Genomic DNA, 18,739 nt, shown 5'->3' on the forward strand with positions numbered 1-18,739 from the left:
TGGCTCACACCTGTAATCCCAGCACTTTGGGAGGCCAAGGCAGGCGGATCACTTTAGGTCAGGAGTTCAAGGCCAGCCTGGCCAACATGGTGAAACCCCATCTCTACTAAAAATACAAAAAAATTAGCTGGGCGTGGTGGTGTGCACCAGTAACCCCAGCTACTTGAGGGCTGAGGCAGGAGAATCACTTAAACCCGAAAGGCAGAGGTTGCAGTGAGCCAAGATCGCACCATTGCACTCCAGCCTGGGTGACGAGCGAAACTCCATCTCCAAAAAAACCAGAAACAAAATACCAGATCCAATCTTTGGAAATTTCACACCCTCATCTGCTCAAGCTTCCTGGAATCTGGATTATAACCATGTTTTAAAGTCCCCATTCCAACTTTCTTATCCACCTACCCGTTCATAGCTTAGTTTTTGGTCATTTTAGTGTTTATCTTAGTATTTTAGTACTGTTAGAAGATCTGATTTCAAGTGTTGTTTCTACCACCTATTAGATGTGTGGTCTTGAGCAACTAATTTAATCTCTAAATCTATTTTCTCATCCATTAAGAGTACTGAGTATATCTATGTAACAAGTGGTAAGGATGAGTAGGTGGTAGTAAAAGAGAGGCATCTGAATCCTCTGCAAGCATTTAAAAGAAAAATACATATATGAGTTACTTAATGTTGTAATTATTCACAGTTAGCTTTCCAAAGATAAAACTGGCTACCAATTTGTTCTTTTTTTTTTTTTTTAGAGACAGATTCTCAGTCGGTCTCCCAGGCAGGAGTGCAGTGGCGTAATCACAGCTCACTGCAGCCTTGAATCCCATGGCTCAAATGACCCTCCCATCTTAGCCTATTGAGTAGCTGGGACTACAGGTGCACCACCACACCCAGCTAACTTTTAAATTTTTTGTAGAGATGGGGGTCTCACTATGTTGCCCAGGGTGGTTTCAAATTCGTGGTCTTAAATGATCCTCCCGTCTCGGCCTCCGGGATCAGGCACAAGCCACCAAGCCTGGTCCAATTCTGATATGCTATAACCAGAACTGGACTAGGAGAGTTGCTCACGTGCCTAATAAGGTTTAACTATATACTTATATACTTAACTATATACTTATGTTTGTTTGCATTTGAGCCATGATAGGCCCACTCAATTTTCTCCTTGTGGGATGAGAGAGACTGGTTTAAAAGCAGTTCAAGTGGAAAATTCCTGGAGTTTTAAATTCCCTCTAAGCCTTATAGGAAATGTATAATCCATTCTCTGGACTACTTGGGTAGGTTATATCAGTAGAAGCATTGAGGCCAGAAAAACAGAGGTGATACCCTGACCTCTGTCGTGTTGAGTCAGATCTGGAGTACTGGCTCTAGACTTGTTCTGATTTTATTTAATTTTATTTATTTATTTATTTTGAGACAGGGTCTCACTCTGTCACTCAAGCTGGAGTGCAGTGGCATGTGTTCTTCTGATTGTAATAGGGGTATTGACAAACTAGGAACGCTCTAAGAGCAGATAGAACAGTGAAGGAGATTGAAATGGTTAATTTGTGTGTCAGCTTTACAATCAGTTAACTTCTAAAAGAGTTTATCAGTGAGCATGCTGGCTCATGCCTGTAGTCCCAGCACTTGGGAGGCCAAGGAGGGCGGATCACTTGAGGTCAGGAGTTCGAGACCAGCCTGGCCAACATGGTGAAACCCCCTCTCTGCTAAAAATACAAAAAATTAGCTGGGCATGGTGGCGCACACCTGTAATTCCAGCTACTCGGGAGTCTGAGGCAGGAGAATCACTTGAACCTGGGAGGCGGAGGTTGCAGTGAGCTGAGATCACACCACCGCACTCCAGCCTGGGCAACAGAGTGAGACTCCATCTCAAAAAAAAAAATAAAATAAAAGAGTTTATCTTTGGTAATTTGGGTGGTCCTTATCTAATCAATTGAAAAGCATTAAGAGTAAAGCTGAGGTTTTCCTGAGGAATAATAAATTATGCCTCAAGACTGCAGCCTAAGACTTCTGGCCTGCCCCACAGATTTCAGACTTGCCATCTCCACAGCTGCATGAGCCAATTCATTGAAATAAATCTCTTCATATATATCATCTAATGATTCTATTTCTCTGGAGAACCCTAACTGATACAGAGATCACACTAGAAAGATAGAGATAAAAACTCAGAAAGGCCAGGACAACAGTTTTTGAATATTTGAATAGCTGCTATGTGAAAGATGAGCCAATGGATGGCGGTAATGGGAAGACATATTTGGGCTTCCCATGTACCAAAACTTAAATGTGTCTTTTGTTTAAAGAAGGCAGCTGAGCCGGTCCAAGTGCAATGGTGTTTACAACTGATTGATCACAACCAATTACAGATTTCTTTGTTCCTTCTCCACTCCCGCTGCTTCACCTAACTAGCCTTAAACATACATATATACAGGCTGGGTGCGGTGGCTCACACCTGTAATCCTAGCACTTTGGGAGGCTGAGGCGGGTAGATCACTTGAGGTCAGGAGTTCAAGATCAGCCTGGCCAACATGGTGAAACCCCGTCTCTACTAAAAATACAAAAATTAGCTGGGCGTGGTGGCACGTGCCTGTAATCCCAGTTACTCAGGAGGCTGAGGTGAGAGAATTGCTTGAACCCAGAGGGTGGAGGTTGCAGTGAGCGAAGATCACGCCACTGGACTGCAGCCTCAGTGGCAGAGTGAAACTCTGCCTTAAAAAAAAAACAAACATAAATACATATACATATGAAGAAGGCAGCTGCCCTACAGAGGACACATCAAAGAAGTCTGGCCGGGCACAGTGACTCACGCCTGTAATCCCAGCACATTGGGAGGCCAAGGTGGGAGGATCATTTGAGCCTGGGAGTTTGAGATCAGCTTGGGCAATACAGTGAGACCTTGTCTCTACAAAAAATAAAAATTAGCCAGGCATGGTGGCAAACACCTGCAGTCCCAGGTACTCAGGAGGCCGAGGTGGGAGGATCTCTTGAGCCCAGAAGGTCAAGGCTGCAGTGAAGTTGAGGCTGCAATGAGCCATGATCGCAGCACTGCACTCCAGCCTGGGCAACAGAACAAGACGCTGTCCCCTGCCACCACCAAAAAAAAAAAAAAAAAAAAAAAAAAAAAAAAAGCCTGACCAATCTTTCACTCTTTTAAGTGCCAAAATAATGCATTTTGGGTTTCAGGCATTAAATGAGTCCCTTCCTTATAGCTCTTTATCTCTTTACAATTTTATTTCCAGTTTGGTGTTCATCTGGGGTATTATGCTATTTTATCAGTGCCAATCCATTCCTTTATATGTTCAAATATTCTTTTTGTTTATTTGTTTGTTTTCGAGATGGAGTCTCACTCTGTCACCCAGGCTGCAGTGCAGTGGCTCAATCTCAGCTCACTGCAACCTCTGCCTCCCAGGTTCAAGCAATTCTCCTGTCTCAGCCTCCCAGGTAGCTGGGACTACAGGTGCACACCACCACGCCTGGCAATTTTTGTATTTTTAGTAGAGACAGGGTTTCACCATGTTGAACAGGGTGGTCTCGAACACCAGACCTCAAGCCATCTGCCCACCTCCTTGGCCTCTCAAAGTGCTGGGATTAAAGGCCTGAGCCACTGCAGCCGGCCCATCACATCAGTCTTATGCCTTTACATACTCAGAGCTTAGCTCACACTTAGAAGTGAGAACATATGATATTTGGCTTTTTCTTTCTTTCTTTCTTTCTTTTTTTTTTTTGAGATAGAGTCTCACTCTATCGCCCAGGCTGGAGTACAATGGAATGATCTCAGTTCACTGCCACCCCACCTCCTAGGTTCAAGCGATTCTCCTGCCTCAACCTCCTAAGTAGCTGGGACTACAGGTGCACACCACTACACCTAGTTAATTTTTGTATTTTTAGTTGAGACAGGGTTTCACCAACAGGCCAGTTTGGTCTCTAACTCCTGACCTCAGGTGATCTGCCTGCCTTGGCCTCCCAAAGTTCTGAGATTACAGGCATGAGCCACCACACCCAGCCAATATTTGGTTTTCCATTCCCGAGTTATTTCACTTAGAATAATGGCCTCCAGCTACACCCAAGTTGTGGCAAAAGACATTATTTTGTTCTTTGTTATGGCTGAGTAGTATTCCTTGGTGTGTATATATCACATTTTTTTTATCCACTCATTGGCTGATGGGCAGTTAGGATGGTTCTGTATCTTTACAATTGCGAATTGTGCTGCTATAAATATGCATGTTCATGTGTCTTTTTCGTGTAATGACTTCTTTTCTTTTGGGTAGAGACCCAGTAGTGGGATTGCTGAATCAAATGGTAGTTCTACTTATAGTTCTTTAAGGAATTTCTCTACTGTTTTCCATAGTGGTTGCACTAGTTTACATTCCCACCAGCAGTGTAAAAGTGCTCCCTTTTGGCTGGGCTCGGTGGCTCACGCCTGTAATCCCAGCACTTTGGGAGGCCGAGGTGGGCAGATTGCCTGAGGTCGGCAGATTGCCTGAGGTCAGGAGTTCGAGACCAGCCTGGCTAACATGTTGAAACCCCATCTTTACTAAAAATACAAAAAATTAGCCAAGCATGGTGGTGCATGCCTGTAGTCCCAGCTACTCAGGAGGCTGAGGAAGGAAAATCACTTGAACCAGGGAGGCAGAGGTTGCAGCGAGCTGAGATCCTGCCACTGCACTCCAGCCTGGGCGACAGAGTGAGACTCTGCCTCAAAAAAAAAAAAAAAAAAAGGTGGTCCCTTTTCACCACATCCGCACCAGCATCAATTTTTTTTTTTTTTTACTTTTTCATAATGGCCATTCTTGCAGGAGTAAAGTGGTATCTAATTGTGGTTTTAATTTGCATTTCCCTGATAATTAGTGATGCTGAGCATTTTTTTCATATGTTTGCTGGCTGTTTGTATATCTCCTTTTGAGAATTGTCTATTCATGTCCTTTGTTGACTTTTTGATGGGGTTTTTTTTTCTTTCAGTTTTCGTTTCCTTGTAACACATCTATTCTGTAAGGATAAAGATGTCTGTAAAATAAGAGACCATTAACTTGTGCTAAAGGTCAGTATTTTTTTTAAGGGATAAAAAGATAAAATTTGCTGGGAAACAAATGTTAGGAACAACTGACTGGTATTGGCTGAGAGGACGGAGTTGCTGAAGAGTTTGCCTTCCAAGGTGGACTGTCCCACTTCACCAGTAATTTTCTTGTGAAAAGTGTTGACTAAAACCAAACCAAACAAAAATAAGTTTTTAAAGAATTAAAGTGAGTTTTCTTTAGAAGTCTTATTGCAGGCTGTAGACTGATGACTACAGTCTGGAAGTAGTTTGTAGAGAGGTTTCGTTAGTAACCTGTTTTGGCTAATATTTTAATCTATTTATATACAGGTGGTGGAGGTTTAGTATGTATAAAATTGTATTAGATTTGTTTAGAAGTTATATTAAAGTAGAATTATATTAAGGTTTGAACGTAAGAGTATATTTGGGCTGCGCCTCGTGGCTCATGCCTGTAATCCCAACACTTTAGGAGGCCTGTCTCTACAAAAAATAAAATAATTAGCTGGGCATGGTGGTGCACACCTGTAGTCCCAACTGCTTGGGAGGCTGAGGTAGGAGGACCTCCTGAGCCTGGGAGATTAAGGCTGCAGTAAGCCGTGATTGCCACTGCACTCCAGCGTGGGTGACAGAGCACAGAGCAAGACCTTGTCTAAAAACAAAATACAATATTTTTTTTTTTTTTTTTTTTTGAGACGGAGTCTCGCTGAGTGCAGTGGCGCGATCTCGGCTCACTGCAAGCTCCGCCTCCCGGGTTCAAGCCATTCTCCTGCCTCAGCCTCCAGATTAGCTGGGACTACAGGCTGGGACACGATGCCCGGCTAATTTTTTTGTATTTTTTAGTAGAGACGGGGCTTCCCCGTGTTAGCCAGGATGGTCTCAATCTCCTGACCTTGTGATCCGCCCGCCTCAGCCTCCCAAAGTGCTGAGATTACAGGCGTGAGCCACTGTGCCTGGCCTAAAAACACAAATTTTTAAAAAAGAGTATATTTAGTTATCTGGTTATAGGTTATAGAAGTATAATTATTAATTTTGTTAGACATTATTTTGTGTGTAGAAAAAGACAAGGACTAGGGCTTTTTATTTTTTAAGGAATATAGTGATTTAGGTAAAGAGAGGTTGGGGGCATTTGGGAGTTGTATGTCTTATTTTGTTTTGTCTCTACAGTATTTTCTTGGAGAAGTCTTTTTTTGTTTTGTTTTTTGAGACGGAGTGTCACAGTGGTACCATCTTGGCTCACTGCTACCCCCACCTTCTGGGTTCAAGCAATTTTCTAGCCTCAGCCTCCCAAGTAGCTGGGACTTCAGGCACATGTCACCATGCCCAGCTAATTTTTGTGTTTTTGGTAGAGATGGGGTTTCACCATGTTGGCCAGACTGGTCTCAAATTTGTGACCTCAAATGATCCACCTGCCTCGGGCTCCCAGATAGCTGGGATTACAGGCATGAGCCACCACTCCCAGCCTTGGAGAATTATATGTTATAGAGTCAGGAGTTTTGTAAAATTATGTTGGCAAGTAGAAATGAATAAATATAATTTTTTTATGTTTGTTATTTTGTCCTATAAATTTTTTTGTTATAAATTAATTGTCTGGTTGTATTTATAAGATTAATGATTGTTTATATAGATAAGAAGGCTTTTTTTTTTTTTTTAAGGAAGATTGGTAATTTTGAGTTGTAGGAGTAAGGAATGAGTATTGGGCCTAGTGTGTATATTTGTCTATTTATTGGAAAATACGTTTTGGATTGTATTTATTTTTTATTTACTGTGATTTGGTTTTTTATATTTAATATAATATTTTAATAAGACTACTATAAGGATAGTATAGGTTGTGTATAATAGTATATATTTAATAGTATTAAAGTGAGTTGTAGATTGGAAAATGTGATAATGACTTAATAAAGTTAGAATATCAATTTGTACATTTTAAGATGAATTGTGTGTTTTTGTATTTACATGTATTAGAGTTTTTTTATGGAAAGTAATTTTGTACTATGCAAGAGACATAGGGGACCCTGTGCTCTATTTTGTTTTGTTGTTAAAGTATCTTTTGGAGAGCTGTATGTTGTCACAGAGTCAGGAGCTTTGTGAAGTTACTTTGTTGGCAAGCAGAAATGAGTAAACATAGCTTTTCATGTTTGTTATTTTGTCTTACACAAAGATGCCATCTCCTTACCTAACCTAAGATGTGACTCTAATAGATAAAATGATAAGGAACATAAACTAAGACAAGAGATCTCTTGGGATGTCTTCAGATCATGAGGGCTAAACATGACTCAGACCGGAAGGTTAGTGTTTACCAAGACCCTTCTTACAGCTGGGGAAAATGAAGGCAAATTAAGTTTAGCCTAAGCTAAAACAGGAGCAACTTGGTTATGGTAAAAAGAGATATTGCCCTATGGGAAGGGCTACTACAAGAATTCTTTCCATACTTAAACTTCAGTAGCAATCTGACAAGTTTTTAAGTGGAGTCTGAATGTAAAACATTCAGAGAGAACCCTTGGTCAGTAGCAGGATAGAGGTTGCAATAAACACAGAGAACTAGTGGCATTTCAAGGAACAGTGAGGAGACAGGTCTGGTTGAAGCAGAAGCTCTTTTGTGAGATCAGTAGAAAATACGCCTGGAGAAAAAGCCTGTTTAAAACTAAACATCTTTTCCAAGGGTAAAACATAAAATCCTTGAAATTAGGCTTTCTAATGGGCAAAGAGATGTCTTCAACCATTTTATGATGAGAAATACATTGGTTCATCCTCAGAGGTCTCTGAACAAAAAGGGGAACACATGTGAAGGTAGTCATGAGGGAGCCTCTGTGAATCATAAGGAGAACTGATTGCAAAACCAGAAGCCAGCAGAAACAAAACAATTCATAAAATTACAGAGGCGGTATTCGGAAGTTCTAAATACTTTTTTTTCCATCTCAGAAATGCTTGGTATCCTAATAATATTTTCTTTGTGATACGTTTTCTATACTCTTAGTAATTTTCCCTGGTCTTGATCTCATCATTAAAGAGGATGAAACCAACACCAGGAAATGTCCATAAGCAGGAAACCACATTTTTATTCCATCACTCATAAAGCATCATTCATAATAATCAGTGTCAGTTTAGCTATAGCAACAGATGCTAACATACACATAGTAAGAGCCTACAAAGGCTCTTTTAAATGTCAGTTTAATTTAAACCTTAACCTCAGATTTTTTCCACAGATACAGTGAGAAACCACAAAGATCCTCCTGTCCTAATGCTCCCTCCATACTCTGCAATAAAAGTTCTTGTTTTGGAAATAGAGAAACCTGTCTGAATCAGCAGTCTTGGCTTGCTGTGTCCTCCATGACCACACCACATGTTCCATACCTTTAGCCTTCATAGGGGCTGGAAAAAACTCTGTCTCCCTTGTCTACCCATTTTCACTGTGGAGTTCGGCTGCACATTTCAGGTGGAAAGGAGGTAGTGTACTAAAATTGCAAAGTATTTCTTTTAATTGGCAATGAATTTAAACAATATTCATTGATTCTTCCACTATGAACAAGCTAGTGTTCCCTGGGGGATAAACAGATGAATAATTGGATAAGCCTTTACTACTCAGGAAGTGTATAGTCTAGAGGAGTGCAGTCCAATAGGAATAGAATATAAACCACAGACACAATGTAAATGTTCTAATGGACACATTAAGTGAAGTAAAAAGAAACATGAAATTAATTTCAAACATATACTTTATTTAACTCAATGTACCCCCAACATTATCATTCTAAATTGTACTTAATATAAAATTATTAATGAAATATTTTATATTCTCTTTTTTTTTCCATACTGTGTTTAAAATCTGGTATGTATTTTACATCTAAAGTACATCTCGATTCAGACTAGCCACAATTCAGGTGCTCAATAGTCACATGTAGCTGGTGGCTACCACATCAGACCCTATAGGTCTCATATGTAGCAGAGAAAAAGACATACAGAGGCTGAGGCGAGCGGATCACTTGAGCACAGGAGTTCAAGACCAGCCTGGGCGACACAGTGAGACCTCTGTCTCTACAAAAAATAAAAAAGTAGCTATGTGGCCTGGTGCAGTGGTTCATGCTTGTAATCCCAGCACTTTGGGAGGCTGAGGCGGGTGGATCACATGAGATCAAGAGTTCAAGACCAGCCTTACCAACATGGTGAAACCCCATCTCTACTAAAAAAATACAAAAATTAGCTGGGCGTGGTGGCAGGCACTTGTAATCCCACTACTCAGGAGGCTGAGGCAGGAGGATTGTTTGAACCCGTGAGGGGGAGGTTACAGTGAGCCGAGACCACGCCATTGCACTCCAGCCTGGGCAACAAGAGCAAAGCTCCTTCTCAAAAAAAAAAAAAAAAAAAAAAAATTAGCTATGCATGTTGGCATACATCTGTAGTCCTAGCTACTCAGGAGGCTGAGGTGGGAGGATTGTTTGAGCGCAGGAGTTCGAGGCTGCACTGAGCTATGATCTTGCCACTACACTCCAGCCTGAGTGACACAGCAAGACCCTGCCTCTAAAAAAAAAAGAAAAGAAAAGAAAAGAAAAGAAAAAGACTTGTTGGAGCCTACTCCCACTCTGTGGAGTGTACTTTTGTTTCAATAAATCTGTGATTTTCTGTCAAAAAAAAAAAACAAAGACAAATGACAGCAATACAAGCTCCATTTGGTTTGGGATGAGGAGGACATTTTCCATGGAAGAGATGGCACTTGAAATTAATGTTCCAAATAATGGTTGTGAGTTGAGCAAGCAGAGACAGAAAAAATGAAGAGTGTAGTTCACAGTGAAGGACCCGTAGAAGCAATAACTTAGGGGAGGAAAATGGCAGGGCGCTGCAGCTCTGTTCAATACATGGAGCTTCTCATTGTGCCTCAGATAATGACAGAACTTCTTAAGGAGGCCTGCGAAGTCCTAGCTAGTTTATTTTCTACTTTGCTGTTCAAACATATTCCCTATTTTCAGGCTCTCTGCTTGAGCCACAGAAGTCTCTGGGCCACCTCCTATAAACTACTCATGTCTTCCCACCCAGGGCTTTACATGTGCAGGGCCCTGCCTGGAACTTATCTGGTTTGGCCCATCATTGTTTCTAGCACCTAGCAGAGGGCTCAGCACATATTCAGTCCTCAAAAAATATATTGAAGTGAATGGATGAGTGATTTGAGAGGCAGGTAGGGAAGAAGATGATGAGAAGGCAGGAAAGGTTGCTTGAGGGCTTGTTGCTGAGGGCCTTGGGTGCCACATTAAGGGTTTGCAATGAATTCAGTGAGCAAACCAGGTCCATGCCTCTAATCTACATCTTAATAGGACTTGCATATTAGATACTGAGCTGCAGCTCAGCCACGTGTGGGATGATTTGGAGTGAAAGGTAGGCAGTGAAGCGCCCTGTTAGGAGCCCTCTGAAGGAGTCCAGAGGAGAATCAATCAGGCCTCCTTACTGTAGCAGAGCGGTGGATGTAGGCATTAGTTACACACTTAAAATAAAAATTACAGGAGGCTGTTGAACTAAGCTCCTGCACTAGGCCCCAACAGACCGGACTAAAAATCAAAATGGAGTCACCTATGCTACAGTTCCACATCAGCAAACCCAAACTAAGTTGTTATCTGACCTTACGAGAAATCCAAAGAGAGATAACAGCCAATATCCCACACAGCCCAGTTTCAGTCTTCAGTTGGCATGATAATAAAGCCTTCTTTGCTTTGATCCTTATGCAAGAAAAGTGGCCTAAAGACACCTAATGTTAATCAGTTGTTTTTCTATTGTTCTGTCTCCCTGTTCTGCCTCACAAGGAAAGTAGCCTTAAAATGACGAATAACTCTTTGTTCTTTGTTTCTTTCTTCAGGCCTCCTCTGTCTATATAAAGCTAATCCCCTTTGCTTAGCTGATTGGAACACTTATTCTATTTTATGGGATGAACTGTTGCCTGATTCTAAAATTGCAATAAAGCCAACTGAAATCTTTAAACTACATTTGTGGCCAGGCACGATGGGTCACGCCTGTAATCCAACAACTTTGGGAGGCCAAGACAGGCAGATCACTTGAGGTCAGGAGTTCGAGACCAGCCTGACCAACATGGTGAAACTCCGTCTCTACTAAAAATACACATACAAAAAATAGCCAGGCATGGTGGCACGTGCTTTTAATCCCAGCTATTCAGGAGGCTGAGGGACAAGCCTTGAACCCAGGAGGCGGAGGTTACAGTGAACTGAGATCACACCGTTGCACTCCAACCTGGGTGACAGAGCAAGACTCTCTCTCAAAAAAAAAAAAAACACTAGATTTTTTGAAATTTTGTTTTTTGACACATATTATGGCAAGACAACAAATCATTTTGTAGAAATTGTACACTCTTAGAGGTGAAGCAAACTTTTGCCATTTTATAGACAAAGAAAGTGAGACTCGTTTTACAGATGAGGAAAGTGACACCCAGAGAAGTTCCTTTAGTGAAACCTCAAAGACTTCATTACTCTGCACAAATGGAATTTGTTTTGAAATGAAGCCCAGGGGGCCGGGCGCGGTGGCTCATGCCTGTAATCCCAAAACTCTGGGAGGCCGAGGCGGGTGGATCACCTGAAGTCAGGAGTTCAAGACCAGCCTGGCCAACATGGTGAAACCCCGTCTCTGCTAAAAATACAAAAACTAGCTGGGGGTGGTGGCTGGCGCCTGTAATCCCAGCTACTCGGGAGGCTGACGCAGGAGAATAGCTTGAACCCAGGAGGCAGAGGCTGCAGTGAGCCGAGATTGCGCCACTGCACTCCAGCCTGGGTGACAAAGTGAGACTGTCTCAAAAAAAAAGAAAATGAAGCCCAGGAATAGGTTATATGTTCTAGGAGAAGGAATTATTTTACAAACATTAGATTAAGTAGATACAGAAAAGTGAGAGAAAAAGATGAAAAGGATCCAAAATGCATTTGAATAGGAAAGAAATGGCTGTAAAAAGCTTTTGGCAGTAGACATGACTGACCTTAAAACACTTAAGCTAGTCACTTACTCTATCAAGAATTCTGACTTGAACAGTCACTTAAATATTTCCGTCTTTTAAAGAAGGTTGGAAGTACTACTGATACATCTTCCCAATGATCAAAATGTCAGAGTTCTCACTTGACAGAATAAAAAAAGACAAAAGAGGGAAATTAAATGACAGCACCATGGGCACGGAAGGTGATTCCCTAAATCGTATATCATCTTCATAATTGGATAACTCTCTTGTTTCCAGACTGTGCTTTCAGATAAACTCCCTGTTTTCATCTGTGTGCCATAAAAGACACGAAGAGGGAGAGAATATTTTTAAGTTCTGAAGAATTAAGCTCCTGCAATCTGTACTTTAGGATCTAGATAATGTAAAATGGCTCATAATTTGCCAGTTTCTAATAAGCTGTACAAATCTCACTATTACATTGAAAACAATTTGTATATTTCAAAAAATGTCTTAAATAGTTACAACTTACCAAGATAACATTGCAAAGGAGTATTAGCCTTAATATTTCAAGAGGCTTTGCTGGTCAATGTCCCCAAATGGTAAAAACTTAAGGTTAGAGGCAAATGAGAGAGTTAGATCAGTGTTTATTTATTTGCCAAACTACTATTAAAAAGAAAAACAAGCAAAAACACCTAGGCTGTATGATTGACATTCATACAGCCTTGATTAGATAGAAGTTTCACTTTACAAACAGGTTTTGACATTGTGTAGATAAAACTTTGATATCAAACCTTTAAACCTCAAGATTTGATAATATTTACTTTAATAAGAACTTCTATCTTCTACTTAAATGTCAAAAAGAACAGAAATCAGACCACTTACTAAAAGGAAGCAGACTTGGAATCCACATTGGTTATCTTTCGTGAGTTAGGAAAAAGTTAATAGTATAAGGCCAAACTCAAGGAAGCCTGAATATTAAGATGATTTATGGAGACACTGAAGACATAAATCAGATATAATTATCTGATTTACAAAAACTAGTCATTTCACCTCCTCAAATGGCCTCATAATTCCTTGATGACGCATGGCAGAAAAGTGCTCATGTCAAACTAAAATGCAGACAAATGGAAAGATAAATGGCCACATCCCAGTAACAATTTGACATCCCATTATTCCTCTTGAGGATTTCACCTGTGTACATCCAGAAGGTGCTAGGTGAATGAAAGGCATTCGGTTTTTAGGATTTTAGCAACACACATGAGAAAAGGTTCACTTTTGCGCCCACTGACAATCAGATGAAGATTCAGGTCATGTTGCAAGTTTTTCTGAACATGTGGCTGTGCAGATAGCTCAGGTCCTGAGCAAAAACAACAGCAAAGAACCCTTTGGCAGTGAAGCCTATCTTGGCCTCTGATCCCTTGGTCCTTCCTACTCACCTTCCTGTCTTTATTTTTCTTCAGCACGTTTCCCATCTAATATACTGTGCTGTATTTTTTTTCATTGTGATGAAATATACATCACATAAAATTTACCACTTTAGCCATTTTTAAGTGTGCAGTTTGGTCACATTAGTACAATGACGTTGTTGAGCAACCATCACCGCTATCCAGTCTCCAAAACTGTTTTCATCTTCCCAAACTGAAGCTCCATACCCATGAAATAGTAATTCCTCATCCCCCTTCTTCCCTAGTCCCTGGCAAGGACCATTCTACTTTCTGTCTATAAATGGGACTACTCTAAGTACCTCATGTAAATTGAATTATACAGCATTTGTCCTTTTGTGACCAAGTATTTTACTTATAAATTTGTGTTTATTTTATTTCATTTTTGAAATGGAGGCTCACTTTGTTACCCAGGCTGGAGTGCAATGGCATTATCTCGGCTCACTGCAACCCTCGCCTCCAGGGTTCAAGTGATTCTCCTGGCTCAGCCTCCTGAGTAGCTGGGATTACAGATGTGCACCACCCCCCCAACCAGCTAATTTTTGTATTTTTAGTAGAGACGGGGTTTCACCATGTTGACCAGGCTGGTCTCGAACTCCTGATCCTCCCCCCTTGGCCTCCCAAAGTGCTGGGAATACAGGCGTGAGCTACCACGCCCAGCCAGTGAATCTTTATTAATGTGTTAGATAACAAAGTCTAGAGGAAAGCTAATAATTACTGTAAATTTCTCAGTAATGATGAGCATAAACGATATGGTGCCTTGAACAACTGTCATATGACATGAAAATATCTATGATTTTTATTAGTGACAAAATTGCAGGTCCTGGTAAAACGATTGTGGTTTTTGGCTACATTTATAATTGGAGAGACTAGATTTCAGCTAGAGATGAGTGAAAATGAATATGTAATTTTTTTTTTCATCCAAGTTCTGAATTTCCTCCATTGACATTCTCCTGCCCCCCAAGGGATGTCTGGATGCTGGGTTAAGAGCCCTTGGCTGGGTAGCTGGATAGTGCAGTTGGGGAAGAGTAAGCTATTCTGCATGGTTGGAGAATGGAGTCCAATGGATGAGGAAGGAGAAGCAGGAGAAAGAAGAAGAGACGAGGGGGCAGAGAGCTGAGCCAGGGCCCCATCTCAGCTATATAAATATAAGGGTAAGGAATTAGGGCTCTGTTTTGAGAGTCACAATAAACCACTGACATATTTTAAGCACAGGGATATCAAGGTCCCACTTGTATTTTAGAAAGCCCTTCTAGGACCAGGTGTGGTGGCTCAAACCTGTAATCCCAGCACTTTGGGACGCCAAGGCAGGTGGATAACCTGAGGTCAGGAGTTCGAGACAAGCCTGGCCATCATGGCGAAACCTTGTCTCTACTAAAAATACAAAAATTAGCTGGGCATGGTGGTGCGTGCCTGTAATCCCAGCTACTGGGGGACTGAGGCAGGAGGATCGCTTGAACCTGGGACCCGGAGGTTGCAGTGAGCTGAGATCGTGCCACTGCACTCTAGCCTAGACAACAGAGTGAGACTCCATCTCAGAAAAAAAAAAAAAAAGCCCTATAGATGGCAACCTGGAGGATTCTATGGGGAATAGTTGCAGGAGGCCAGGAGCAGGACAGTAGCAAGAGGCCATTAAAAAGATGGTAGCAGTTCTCCAGGTAAGGTTCAAGGTGGCCTGAGCTTGGGAAATGGCAATGCAGACAGTCAGTAAGGACATGGGAGTGGGAACCCATGGCAATTTAGAAGGTAGAATTAAAAGTGGATTCTCTTTTACTCCTAGGATGAAGAATCTGAATGTAAGCATGAGAACAAAGAAGTTCACTTCAATTTTCTCAAGTTCCTGCTGTAACAGATGGTCAGCATAGAATGCTCAGCGAAAAACCACAGTAGTTGCCAGAGAAGTCATGTGATGTAATGGGAAGAGAATCTCAAATGTCATCAGTCGACGTGAGTCTTCTTATCTGTGTGACCATGGGGAAGTTACTTATGCTTCCTCATGACCAGTATCCTCACTGGCAAAGCAAGGCTAAGGACACCAGCATTCCTGAGTTGTGAGTCACAAGGGAGAGATGATCATTGGACATTTTGTAAATTTTTCATTTTGTTTATCATATTATTGTTTTTATAGGCGAGATATTGCTGTGTTGGCCGGGCTGGAGTGCAGTGGGGCAATTTTAGCTCACTGCAGCATCCAACTTCTGGTTCAAGCAATCCTCTCACTTCAGCCTTCCAAGTAGTTAGGACTACAGGCATATGCTGCTGTGCTCAGCTAACTTTTTCATTTTTTGTAGAGACAGGATCTCACTTTGGAAGGCAGCTATGCTCACCACTACACTGCCAACACCAGGATCTCACTTTGTTGCCCAAGCTGGTCTTGAACTCCCGGACTCAAGCAACCCTCTTGCCTCAGCCTCCTAAAGTGCTGAGATTACAGGCGTGAACCACACCATGCCTGGCCCATTTTGTCAATTAAGTGTTTTGGAAATGCTACTTGTTCATTATAATCAATCAGTAAAGGATAATTATTGTAGAAATTAGTATTTACTAAGAGTTGAAAAAGCATTCAGCTCTTTTTTTTTTGGCAGAGCTAGCTGAGGTTTTATTTTGGACCAAAAAAAAAAAAAAAAAAAAAACAGTTGAATTGTTTTGTAGCTGGAGGCATGGGCAAGGGGGGGTCCCCAAGCAGTAAACTTCCCCGCACGTGGGCTGAGGGCTAGGACTGAGCCTCAGGTGGGTCTCCTGTTCCCTGTCCTACCCTGCACAGGGGCCTCCCTCCTGGGCTCTGGGGCAGCCGCAAGAGGGGCAGGCTGGGAGGGGCTGCCATGGCTGTTCACTCGGGCAGGACATCAGAGGACTTGGACACCAGCTTCCCATTGCGGGTCTCGATCTTCTTCACAACCACAGCCCTGGTGGAGCTGATGTGGCTGAAGGAGCTAGAGTTCAGGCCGTAGCTGAGGCTGGGACTTGTGAGGCCCCCATAGGCTGAGCACAGACCACCTGCATAGCCGCTGGTGGTCTTCGTATGGATACTCACATTCTGTATCCCAGACTCCAGCCGGCATTTCTAGCCCTCCAGCAGCTTCCTGTAGGTTGCGATCTCAATGTCCAGGGCCAGCTTGACGTTCATCAGCTCCTGGTACACACGCAGCTATCGCGCCATGTCCTGCTAGGCCCGCTGCAGGGCGGCCTCCAGCTCAGACAGCTTGGCGTTGGCATCCTTAACAGCCAGCTCCCCATGCTGCTCGGCATCTGCGATGGCAGTCTCCAGGGAAGCCCTCTGGCCTTTGAGACCCTCAGTCTCAGCCTGGAGCCAGCTGATGTTCCGGTTCATCTTGGAGATCTCTGTCTTGTTTTTGAGACAGAGTCTCACTCTGTCGCCCAGGCTGGAGTGCAGTGGCACGATCTCGGCTCACTGCAAGCTCCGCCTCCCAGGTTCAAGGGATTCTCCTGCCTCAGTCTCCTGAGTAGCTGCAATTACAGGCGTGCACCACCACCCCAGGCTAATTTTTGTATTTTTAGTAGAGACAGGGTTTCACCCTGTTGGTCAGGCTGGTCTTGAACTTCTGACCTCGTGATCAGCCTGCCTCGGCCTCCCAAAGTGCTGGGATTACAGGCGTGAGCCACTGCGCCCGGCCTAGATCTCAGTCTTTGTATGCTGCAGGTCATCCCCGTGCTTCCCAGCCAGCATCTGCAGCTCCTCATATTTGATCTGGTACATGCTCTCAGCCTCACTCCGGCTGCGGTTGGTGATCTCCTCGTACTGCGCCTTGACCTCAGTGATGATGCCGTCCATGTCCGGGGAGCGGCTGTTGTCCATGGACAGCATCACAGACGTATCCGAGATCTGGGACTGCAGCTCCCGATCTCTTCATACAGCTGCCTCAGGAAGTTGATCTCGTCAGTCAGCCCTTCCAGGTGAGACTCCAGCTCTACCTTGTTCATGTAAGCTTCATCCACATCCTTCTTGATGAGGACAGATTCATTCTCCATCTCTGTAAGCTTATTGATCTCATCCTCACCAGCCCCTGCATGTTGCCAAGCTCTGCCTCCAGCTTCAGCTTCTCCTGGCCCCGAGTCTCCAGCTGCCGCCTAAGGTTGTTGAAGTAGCTCTCGAACATGTTGTCCATGTTGCTCCAAGCTGTCTTCTGCTGCTGCAGGAGGCTCCACTTGGTCTCTAGCATCTTGTTCTGCTGCTCCAGGAACCGTACCTTGCCTATGAAGGAGGCAAACTTGTTGCTGAGGGTCTTGATCTTCCCCTTCTTTTGGGTGCGCAGGCCTGGATGTTGGGATCCACCTCCAGATTAAGTGGGCTCAGCAGGCTCTGGTTGACTGTGACGGCAGTGATGCCTCCCATGCCGCTGGCCCCACCATAGCCTCCACCCAGGCTACCCTGGAAGCTGCTGCTGCCCACTCAGGAGGAGCTTGAGGAGCTGATGCAGGTACTGGGCCCACTCGTGTAGGAGCGGCTGCTGAAGGCCCGGGGGCCAGAGATGGACAACTTGTAGGACTTCTGGGTCACCCTGATGGACATGGTGGAGGCAGGAGTGGAGGCAGGCGGGCTGAACCAGGCAGAGATTCCAGAAGGAGTGAAGAAGCTGCTTCTTGATAGCATTCAGCTCTTATTTATTTATTTATTTATTTATTTATTTATTTGAGATGGAGTCTCTCTCCGTCGCCCAGGCTGGAGTGCAGTGGCTCAATCTCGGCTCACTGCAACCTCTACCTCCTTGGTTCATGTGATTCTCCTGCCTCAGCCTCCTGAGTAGCTGGGATTACAGGCATGCACTACCATGCCCAGCTAATTTTTGTATTTTTAGTAGAGCAGGGGTTTCACCATGCTGGCCAGAATGGTCTCAATCTCCTGACCTCGTGATCCACCTGCCTCGACCTGCCAAAGTGCTGGGATTACAGGTGTGAGCCACAGCACCCAGCTCTCAGCTCTTAATTTAATTGCATTTAAAGAAAGCAATCTGTGCAATTCACAGTAGCTGGCAGCCAGGATAACCCAGGGAAACCTCATCCTTACAAAAAAATTACAAAAAAAAAAAAAAAAGCCAGGCATGGCAGCTCATGCCTATAGTTCCAGCTACTCTGGAGGCTGAGGTGCAAGGATCGCTTGAGCCAGTGAGGTCGAGGATGCAGTGAGCTGTGATTGTGCCACTGCCTTCTAGTCTCGGCAGCAGAGCTAGACCTTATCTCAAACAAAACAAACAAAACAAAAAAAATAATAGCTGAGTAAGTGTCATAGATCACATGGAACAAAAGCTGGCTCTGGAAACATATGCAGAATTTAGCTAAGTGTGGAGTAAGGGTGAAATTGTGAGCAAAACAAGCTTCCTGAGAGATCAGAGGTGGGGAGTTATGCCAAGA

At 43.2% G+C, this 18,739-nt stretch overlaps 1 protein-coding gene and 1 pseudogene across 1 annotated transcript in view, besides 3 other annotated features; both read right to left on the minus strand.

Annotated features, from left to right (window-relative positions):
• SGK1 (serum/glucocorticoid regulated kinase 1) overlaps nucleotides 1–18,739 on the minus strand; it is a 148,857-nt gene that overhangs the window by 111,541 nt on the left and 18,577 nt on the right. The gene's annotated exons all lie outside the window — the stretch shown is intronic.
• Nucleotides 15,112–15,211: an enhancer, noted in NCBI's record as "active region_25087". NCBI's record gives its function as "activates an Ori minimal core promoter by ATAC-STARR-seq in GM12878 lymphoblastoid cells {active_cell/tissue: GM12878}" and the evidence as "EXISTENCE:reporter gene assay evidence [ECO:0000049][PMID:35858748]".
• Nucleotides 15,272–15,371: an enhancer, noted in NCBI's record as "active region_25088". NCBI's record gives its function as "activates an Ori minimal core promoter by ATAC-STARR-seq in GM12878 lymphoblastoid cells {active_cell/tissue: GM12878}" and the evidence as "EXISTENCE:reporter gene assay evidence [ECO:0000049][PMID:35858748]".
• Nucleotides 15,849–16,350: an enhancer, noted in NCBI's record as "H3K4me1 hESC enhancer chr6:134617783-134618284 (GRCh37/hg19 assembly coordinates)". NCBI's record gives its function as "activates a minimal SCP1, AML or CMV promoter by ChIP-STARR-seq in naive H9 embryonic stem cells {active_cell/tissue: H9 hESC(naive)}" and the evidence as "EXISTENCE:reporter gene assay evidence [ECO:0000049][PMID:30033119]".
• On the minus strand, nucleotides 15,948–17,985 carry KRT8P42 (keratin 8 pseudogene 42; annotated as a pseudogene).

This window comes from Homo sapiens, chromosome 6 (assembly GCF_000001405.40).
Source record: "Homo sapiens chromosome 6, GRCh38.p14 Primary Assembly".
In the NCBI taxonomy this organism is placed as follows: Eukaryota; Metazoa; Chordata; class Mammalia; order Primates; family Hominidae; genus Homo; species Homo sapiens.